This window comes from Homo sapiens, chromosome 6 (genome assembly GCF_000001405.40).
Source record: "Homo sapiens chromosome 6, GRCh38.p14 Primary Assembly".
NCBI classification, from domain to species: domain Eukaryota; kingdom Metazoa; phylum Chordata; class Mammalia; order Primates; family Hominidae; genus Homo; species Homo sapiens.
The window spans coordinates 140,917,774-140,928,751 of NC_000006.12; the positions used below are offsets into that span (position 1 = coordinate 140,917,774).

The following is a 10,978-nucleotide window of genomic DNA, read 5'->3' on the forward strand; positions in this document are numbered from 1 at the left end:
AGGGAGGATATGGTAATCCACACATTTCAAGGGAAAAGGAGTAGGTAGGGGAATAGTCAGTTATGTATTCATCTCACGCATTTTAGATAAGATTAGGTGAACATAGAGTAGCTACCTTTGGAGATGTTTAACATTTTATTTGTACCTATCTGCCTAGGAACAAAAGAAAAGGCAGTTTCTTGCATGACTCAGCTTCCAGCTTAATTATTTTCTTTTGGCATAAGGAATCGGGGCCCTGAGTTTTTATTTTTCACTCCCATTTCCTTTAAATGTCATAAAAGAATACAGTAAGGAATCAATAGTTCTAATCTCTACTTTGTTAATGTTTATCAGTTCACCTTTTTTGTAATGGAAAAATATGTTGTATCATTTATGTGGGTTATAGAAGAAGCTGGACTTTAAACACATAGAGTAATTATAGCTTGTATATATTACTTCATAGACAATAAAGTATATCTGGGTTATGAAGAAACTTAAAGTTTTGAGGTGAAAGAGATAAGTTCAATTCATGCTACCGTTAGGAGAAATTAAATGCCTGTGTCAATAAACAGCTTGGGAAAGGATTGGCAAGCCCTCTAAAGCAAAGACACAAATTCTTCATTGTGACGGACTACCGATTACCAGAGTGGATAGTGTGGTTTGTGCTAGAAAGCTATTGACTTATTTATTATATCCTTCCTGGAAGACAATACAAGGTGTCATGAGGAAAGTGTTTCCAATATTGAATACTTTTCTGTCCTAACAAGATGAGCCCAAGAAGGTGGAGATAATAGATGGCAGTTATGTACTGCAGGGAGAAACCTTTTTTAATGACTTAGCACAAAGTAGTCCCCAGTGAGTCTCTTAGATGAACACAGAATGAAGAAGCTATGTACCACATTTTTAGAAAATAAAAAAGTAACACCTCTCTCTGCTAAGCCAATAATTAGCATGTGAAGTCAATGTTTATATTGCTTTCAAACTTCCAGAAATGCTGTGGAAAGATTAAGCTCAGAATTAGATAACATTAGGTAGCAAATTGATAACAGATACTGTATGTTTTTAGAAGTGATGTTTACGTTGTGTGCAGAAATGTTTAAAAATGTTTTTACATTAAAATTTTTATTCTAGTAGCTAATTTAACATAGTCATACAAAAATAAGAATTATAAGAACCTTCCATGATTCTACCAACCAGATATAACCCTTATTATCACAGTAGCATGTATCCTTCCAGTCTTTTTTCTGAACATATGTCGCTGGAATCTCAAATTATTGGGATCCATAACATTTTATATTTTTCCCCAATAATGCAATAAGTAGATAATTTAAACAAACCCAACTCTCATCCCTACTTACATACAACTCACATACTTCTTTCTTGCTGAATAGCACTTCCATCATTAGCATTTTGGACTGATTTTATACTTTTCAGGTGCCTTTCGTTACTAGACTGTTATAACTGAGAAATTATTATTTGAATTCAATATTGATCCAAAGCTTTGGTATTTGTCTTTCAACAGAGGCAGATCAATGACTCCAGTCCCTTAGTGTAGAGAAAGGTCAGTCTGGTACTGAAAATCTTCTTCATTTTTCCTTTTCTATTTGTTCCTCAGGGTTTGTCACCATTGAGTGATAAAGGTGTCAGGTCCCAATTGTCAGTTCATTGTTGGCTATGTGGATTTAGAATACATGGTACTTAGCAATTTTTGAACTTAGCTGTGTGCTTCAGGCACAATTCTGAAACAATAGGAAAAGTTTTGCAAAGCTATACATACACAAACATAGCCTTAATTTTTTATAAAAATGGGACTTACTATACAAATTCTTTGTAACTATTTTTAACATGTATTATATCATAACATTGTTCTATATTGAGCATCATTAATAAAACTTTCATCTTTTCTACATTACAATGATAACACATACTTCTCTTAACAATTGAAATGACATACAAATATTCCTTGATTTACAATGAGGTTATATCTAGATAAACCGGTTGTATGTTGAAAATATTAAGTCAAAAATGCATTTAATGCACTTAACCTTTAAAACATCATAGGTGAGCCTAGCTTACCTTAAATGTGCCCAGAACACTTCCATTAGCCTACAGGTGGGCAAAGTCATCTAACACAAAATCCCTTTTATAATATCTCTTGTAATTTATTGAATACTGCACTGGAAGTGATAAACAGAATGGTCGTTTCAGTTGTTTACCCTTGTGATTGCGCAGCTGACTGGGAGCTGTAGCTCACTGCTGCTGCCCGGCATCCTGGGACTGTATCCTGCAGCTAGCCAGAGAAGAGAGCAACATTCAAAGTATGGTTTCTAGTAAATATGTATTGCTTTCACATCATCATAAAGTTAAACAATTGTATGTCGAACCATAGTAAGTCAGGGACCATCTGTATTGCAAAATGCATAAAAGCCATGATAGTTATCTTTCTCTACTTCTCTTTCTCATCTCATTGAGATAACCAATGCTAATAGCCTAAAATGCTCACTTTCAATCCTTTTTTGTTGTTCATGAATATATATATATATACAGGCATATATATTTACATATATTATATCCACTGTTTTCTTTGTTATTAAAGTAGAATCATATGATATACACACACCTTTGCAACTTTCTTTTCCCCTGAAAGAGTGACTCCCCATCAGTTGGAAGAGTAAGATTTAACAGTTTTCCAATACAATTGTCTATAAATACAGATACATGTAGACAAATACAATTTTATTTAAATTAGGTTTTTTTCATGGGCACACCCGTTTCCTTCCCTCTCTTCTCTCAGGCAGTCTGTGCCAAAAAAAAAAAAAAAAGCAAAACAAAACCCTCAGGTATATAAATCTTTTCTTTTTTCACATAATCTTCCATACATTTTTTCCCTCTTTCACTCACACACCTGCATGAGTGTATAAAATAGAGCAATTGATAACTCCAAACACTCTTTTCTGCATATTACCTTTAAAAAAATCAACAGTAAGGCTTCGAATGATGATTGAAAAGACCCAGTTCAAATATACAGCTTCTCCTCAGATCCTTGGGGCCATACCAAGATGGAACACATTTATGGGGCCAATATAAATCTTTCTCCAAGGTGTCCATTAACCCTCGGATCTCTGAAGAGTAAACAATCAGCAGACTCAATTCAGACTCTGCTCCAAGGCTTTCCAGATTGTCCCCTAAAGCCTCCAGGTTACCAAGATCTTGTATTTCTCAAACAGCGTTTCTCAAACATTTGGTTCAAATCCCTTTATATTCTTGTTATTCAGGACCAAAATACTTTTATTTTTGTGGGCAATATCTCTGAACATTGATCGTATTAGATATGAAAACTAAGAAACTTTGAAAATATTTGTTCACATTTAAAACAGAAATAATAAATGTGTTACATGTAAACATACTACATTTTGAAAAATATTAAGTAAATTAATGCATAATAAGACTATATGCTATACTTAGGTGTTGAATGTGGCTATGGAAAGTTTTATAAAAATGACAGATGAATAACAACTCCTTTTCTGTTCATACACCTACATTAACTTTTTTTTTAAAATGTAAAGGTGTATTCTGTATTACAATTGTTCCTGGATAGAAAATAATTAGCCTTGACTGTTATGGAAAGAAAATAGAGATGACTAAGACTCCAAATATTTGATGAACTACCTGTTGTCATCAAAACGTTCTGAGAGAAATATAAAGTTGTCCTATCACAAGCACATACACGCTATGCATTACAACAGGACCTGTGTTGCAAACTCTTTGTGGCCTCTCCTCAGACATACGTTCATAAATTAGATGGTTCTGGCTCCCTTACATGTGTTCAACTTACAAAACTTGCCACTTCTTTTTGAAGAGTACCTAACAACTATGAACCTATCTACTCCCTCACTGGAAGCTTCTTCCCATAGTAAAAAAGGTGATTTGTTTCCTTAGCTTTGACTCATGTTAACTCTGTGACCATCTACCTTTGAGTGAAGGCTGGAGAGAATGAGTAAGTAAGTGAGTGAGTGAGTGTTTGTGTGTGTGTTTTATAGGGAGATTGCTGGCAAGGAGCTCCTCCTAGAGGTTAGGGAATGCATCTCCCAGTATGTGAAGTTATAATTGTTTTAAGAAACTAAATACAATGTCAAGCGTGCATATGCTCTGTTAGTATAGATGTATATATAGGAAACCAAATTTTTTTTCTATGTGTGTGTAAAAATTTTGTCTTCAGAAGTTGTGTCTTCAAACATTTGGGGTCTGTAAGAAAGTCACAGTAAATAAAAGTCATCTTGATCAACTGTGCCACTTTATAAGTAAGAAAAATAATAACAATCATTTGAAATCTGTTGGCTATCAGAATTTTTGAAATCTTGGACATATATCCCCCAAGCACAATGTTCCACCTTTCCATTTTCAGTGGTCAAAAATTTTAAATTGAAGTTTCTTAACTAGAACTTATGACAGAGATATTTAATAAATAAATTTAGATTTAAAGAATTCTTACAAAGACAGTATAGAGAGTTCCAGTATATCCTATGCTCAGTTTCCCCTATTAACAACTGAAATTAAAATAGTACATTTGTCATAGTTATTGAACCAATATTGATACAACATTATTAACTAAAGTTCATTTTAGATTACTTTTTTAGATTCCCTTGGTTTTCCTGTTTTTTTTCATATAAATTATTTATTAACAGACAAGGCCCACATGCCAATTTCTTCTTGGACACACCCACAGCAGGGCCACTGCAGCCAGTGGTCTTGGCGTCCTTGCCTCAGACATGAAGGCCCCAGAAGTGGCACAGCCCTCTATTGGCCTGAATCTTCTTCAGTCACTCCAGATCTTCACAGACCTTGTTTTCCAGACCATTGGTCAGGACCTGGCTATATTTTCCATCCTTTATATACTTCTGTCTGTTTAAGGACCAGTCTGGGATCTTGTACTGGGGTAGATTTTGTATAATGGTGATCACAGGTTCCACCTCATCCTCAGTGAGTTCTCCTGCCCTCTTGGTGATGTCAATGTCTGCTTTCCTCAACACCATGTGAACATATCTTCAACCCACACCCTTAATGGCAGTGATGGCAAAGGCTGTTTTCCACCGCCCATTGATGTTGGTGTTGAGTATTCGCAAAATATGCTGGAACTTCTCAGGGATCACTATGGATATGGCAGCAACACAAGTGGAGGTGTGGAGGCCACCTGTGGAACAGCTCAATTTTCCTTAACGTCCTTTTTCTGTCCTAAAATCCCAACCAGCATACCACATTACAATTAGTTGTCCTGTGTCCTGTGTCTTGTTTGTGATAGTTTCTCAGATGTTCCTTGTTTTTGATGACTGACAGTTTTCAGGGTTACTGCTCAGATACTTGGATATTTGGTAGAATATCCCTTAGTAGAGATTTGTCTGAACTCTCTTTTGTGGTTAGAATGCACTATATGTTCTGGGCAGTACTATAGAGTTTTATTTGGCCTCAGCATAGTAATCATGTCAGAGTTCCTGGCTCATGGCCAAGTTTCCCAAGAGATGGTCTTCAAGTAGAATACGCTTAGCAAAAGGTGATCAGGAAGTTCAGAGTTTCTAAGTGCTCAAGGGTGCTTTAGAACATGTACATTTTCAGGAAGTTTCTGGACCCACATAAATATTGTATTTGTTCCTTGTTCCTAGGAGGCTATTTAATATTATGTATATGGAAGGACAATCACCAAGAAAGTTAACCCAATACCCTACAAAGATAAAGTGGCTTTACTGATAGGATGCACATTCAACCCAATTTGACAGGGACATTTTCAAATTCTAGCGGTTGTCCCATTGTCATTTTTAATAGCCTCTGCTCTTAACTTAAAAATGCTGTAGGTTATATACTACATTTCATCATGGATTTATTTCCTACTGCTGCTGTAACAAATTGTCACAAATACAATGACAGAACACAGTTTTTTTTTTATTGTACAGTTTGGAGATCAGAAGGTAAAAGTCAGGTTTAACAGGCTGAAATCCTGATATATGCAGGACATCAGCAGACTCTGTGGAGAACCCATTCGCTTGCCTTTTCTCCCTTCTATTGGCTGTGGCACTCATGCAAGGTAAGATATTTACAGGTTTGAGGTATTAGGGTGTGGAAATCTTTGGAGTATCATTATTCTGATCACCATACACTGTAGTAACAAAGAGCAATTAAAAGTTAAAAAAAATCAGTTTTGAGCCATGAAGCTTGTGGGTTTTGGGTATAAGACTTAACTCTGATAATGCATTTAAATGTAACTCATTGCCCCTCCGTGCATTTTTATCATTCATCTGCTGTTCAGATATAAAAAGATAAATTATAATAATGTATGATAACTTTTGGTGATAAAATGCTGTGAGAAGGCAAATAGCATAAATTTATGACTGTGTTTATTAGCTACACTCCCCTCTCCTAACATTGCAATATGGACCAAGCAAAAGCAGGTGAGTTTATGTGGCAAAATCGTAAAATTTCCAAACAGAGTTTCTTGAGAGTTTCAAGGTCTCAACATTACGTTATTGGTTTTCTGCCTTACTAATTCTGTGATGTCCTAATAAATTAGACAACTTTATAGAGTCATTTCTTAAAGACAGCTTGGTGAATTTCTTCGGAGTGACTAAACAGAGGAAGAGTTGCCTGTAGATGTGGCAGTGTAGACAGTGGTAGTGGACAAACAAGTAATACGGTAAAATGGAATCCTTCTAAACATATGACTTTTAAAACTAATAGTTGATTTCTAGCACATTGCCAAGGACATTTCTAATAAGTGTAACTCAATTATTTCCATGTACATTTTAGATAAAAATAATTCAGTACCCTTCATGGTTAGATATTTATTCATCCATAGCTGAAGGCTGCTTTAATCTGTGATGGCATAAAAATAGCCACAAATATTTTGATGCTTCTTCTAATGAGAGGTGAGGTCTGTGAATCCTCCCTTGAGTTGGGGCTAGGCTCTGACTGTTTTAAATAATGTAGTATAGTGAAAATGATGCTATAGCGGTTTTGACTGTAGATTTTAAGAGGATGAGCAGCTCATTCCTCTTGGTGCATTGACCAACCATGTCAAGGTCTGACTGACCTGAGTTCTCCGTGCTGTGAGGAAGCCCTAGCTAATGTTAAGGTCATATAGAACAAGGGGAAGAGAGAGGGAGAGAGACAGAGAGAGGGAGGGGGGTGGGGGAGGAGAGAGAGAGACAGAGAGAGATACCTTGCTCGCTCTCAGCTCTTTCTGTTTACTCCAGACACGCAAGTCATTGCAGTATCCCAGTTGGGATGTTTTTGTGGATCAGAGATGAACTATCTTTGCTGAGCCCCACTCAAATTTCTGAGCCCAAAATTGAAAAAATAAGAAAATGATTGCTGTTCTATGCAAAATTTAGATTTCAGTGTGTTATATTTTACAGCAGTCGTTAATAACTGCATACTCAAAGTGTACGCCTTCATTCTTAAACAACTTGCGGGAAATCTCCCTATTAACTGTTTTCTATCCACCCTTCAAATTTTGGAGTTCCTTCAGTTGGCTCACATATGGTTTGTAATGCCTGGCTGATCTCTTTCAATGGATACTTTGCTTAGAGTATCTGCTTAATTATTCATTCCAGGTTAAACCCAGACTTAAAATTTGTGTTTTGTTTTACACTTTCTGTATGTGCCAAAGGCTGGCTCTTGTACATGTAAACTGACCTCTTGATCCCAGAAGTCTAACTGCGAGTTAAGTAGAGACAACCACTGATACATTTGGGATAGAAAATTTTGATTTTTATTATGGCAACCTGACCTAAGGGGCCATTAAAAAAAAATCTTAGAACTTTTAGCATTTATTTAACCCTTGCTTTAAAGAGTACACTACATAGCATATTTGAATTTGAAAAAAAAAGGTTTTCATATTTCTGTTGTTTTCAGAGTATTAAAATACACAAAAAATTACCACGTCCCAACTACTTTTCTAACCACTTGAGTTATAATAGTGAGCAAAAAAGGGCAAAGATCCTGCTGTCATCAAATTTTACTTTTAGTGGTGAGAAAGAGAAAATGTACATATAAAAAAACAACAAATATGTAAGTGATATGTCTGGCCATTTGGTCCTTTCTGGTAGCCACTGGACACATATAGCTATTTAAATTTAAATAAAATTTAGTTGTAAATTCAATTTAAAAACTTCAGTTCCCCAGGCACACTAGCCAACTTTCAAGAGCCCAGAAGTCTGCTATATTGCACAGTATGGATTACAGAAACTTTCCATCATCACAGAAAGTTCTTTTGGTTGGACTAGAAAAGTAAGACAAGATAAGGATAGGTGGTCACAATAATTTCAAATTCAAGAGGAATAAAGATATTTCTGAGTGTCTTTTTAGAGCATTATATAGATCTCTTTATGTGCCTCATAAGTATCATAATTCTCAAGAGATGATTAATTTTTCTTAGTTGAAAGAAGAAGGTGAATTTGTTGTTCTTCAGCATTCATTAAGGGCACAGTTTAGAATTTCTTCATCTTTCTTTTTTAAATCCCTTTACAAGAAAGGAGAGGTAGTATATTAATGATGGTCTTTACTACTTCTGCTGTGGTTTGAATTACACAAAATGTTTACAGATGCTATGAAAGAGCTCTGGATGATTACTGAATATTAATCATATTTAGATTAATGCGTATTTATTGTAAGAAAGAATGTAACATACAGTAACAAATCAAATAATATTGAAGCCTAAACTTTTGCCACATTAGGATTCAAATTTGACTTTCAAGGAAAACGTAATTCATAAAATATTTATTTCAAGAGATAGAATTTTAATTTAGTTAAATGTTATTGAACAAAATATATCAAACTTCTGCCTCTGGCTAATTGGATTTTGATTGCTTTTTAGTTATCATCTTCTGTCTTTGGTTCATCAAAAAGATCTATATCTGCACTCAAATTTTAGTGAAATAATTGTTACTCGCGCATACATATTTCTGTTATGATCATGTTATATTACCATTTAAATATATTTTAGGTGAAATGTTAATGAAGTGGAAAGGCTTACCACTGTGTCACTGAATAAAAAAATTTAACATATAATACTAGGAGATTAGAAAGAACAAAATATATTGATGAGAAAAAATTAAAACAATTAGTGATAGAAAGCCATAACAAACTTTGAATCAAAAGGAACTTCTTCAATCGTCAGATAAAAGTAGCTACAAAAATCTCTCAGTAAATAACTTATTTGATGTTAAATCAGAAACAATACATTATTGTTCCGTTTTTTTGTTTTTTTTTTTTTGAGATGGAGTCTTGCTCTGTCACCCAGGCTGGAGTGCAGTGGCCGAATCTCGGCTCATTGCAAGCTCCACCTCCCGGGTTCATGCCATTCTCCTGCCTCAGCCTCCCGAGTAGCTGGGACTACAGGCTCCTGCCACCACACCCGGCTAATTTTTTGTATTTCTAGTAGAGATGGGGTTTCACCATGTTAGCCAGGGTGGTCTCTATCTCCCAAAGTGCTGGGATTACAGGCGTGAGCCAATGCGCCCGGCCCTAATGTTCAGTTTTATAACATTCATTCTACGTATTATGAGAGGTCTTAGCATTTATATTTTCACAAAGAAAAAAGAGGGGCGTAGGCAGGGCATAATGGCTCATGCCTATAATCCTAGCAGTTTGGGAGGGTGAGGTGGGAGGATCACTTGAGGCCTAGAGTTCAAGACCAGCCTGGGCACATAGTGGGACCCCATCTGTACAAAAAGAAGAAGGGAATAAAGAACAAGAAAAAAGAGGTTCAAGGGTTAGAAAGGAAGCAAAACCGCTATTATTATTCACAAATAATATGTAATATGATTACTAAGTTCAATACAAATAGTCGCCAGGATTTCTGTTCAACAAGAACATCTATTTTTGGAAGTTTCATTTATGATAGAAATAATATTATGGGATAGTTATGAGTTTTATGAAAAAGTTTTATGAAAAATATTTATAAGTTTTATGAAATATAAGTTTTATGAAAAAGTATTTAAAAATGTTGAAAGATATTTAGAAAGTTCCAAATATGTGAAAGAAAATGCTATGCTCATAGATAGTCTTCTCCCATAAAGATATATATTGTCCTAAACTACTTTACAGAGTCAACAGGATTCCAATAAAAAAAGCAAAAAACTTATACAAACAAGGACACACATTACAAAATGGAGGAGAGAAGCTACAAGAATAGTTAAGGCATATTGAAAAAGAATAAGATTGGCTGGGGAGGGGAGCATTTTCTATGTGGAAAGATATATTACAAAATCTTAATAGTTAAGAGTATCTGTTTTGTCTCAGCAATAAACAAATACAGCAATGAAAAGGATGGAGAGAGGAGAAACAGACCTAACCATACAGAGATTAAAAACCAAAACTTTTAGATTCAGGGGTACATATGCGGTTTTGTCATACAGGTAAACTTGTGTTACAGGGGTTTGTTGTACCGATTATTTCATCAAGTAGTTACTAAGTGTAGCACCTAATAGTTCTTTTTTTTCTGATTCTTTCTTTCCTCCCACCCTCCAACCTCTGATTGGCCCCAGTGTGTGTTGTTCCCCTCTATGTGTCCGTATTCTCTCATCACTTAGTTCCCACTTAGAGGTGAGAACATGTGGTTTTCTGTTCCTGCATTAGTTTGTTAAGGAAAATGAAGTCCAGCTCCATCCATGTTTCTGTAAAGGACATGATCTTATTCTTTGTAATGGCTGCATAGTATTCCATGGTGTATACGTACCACATTTGCATTATTCAAGCTGCCATTGATGGACATTTAGGCTGATTCCATGTCTTTGTTACTGAGAATGGTGCTGCAATAAACATGCTTGTGCGTGTGTCTTCATGGTAGAATGATTTATATTCCTTTGGGTATATACCCAGTAATGGTATTGCTGGGTTAAATGGTATTTCTGTTTTTAGCTCTTTGAGGAATTGTCACTCTGCTTTCCACAATGGTTGAACTAATTTACACTCCCACCAACAGTGCGTAAGTGTTTCCTTTTCTCCCCAA

The 10,978-nt window shown here is 35.4% G+C and overlaps 1 pseudogene; it reads right to left on the bottom strand.

Annotated features, from left to right (window-relative positions):
* On the bottom strand, positions 4,644 to 5,181 carry RPS18P10 (ribosomal protein S18 pseudogene 10; annotated as a pseudogene).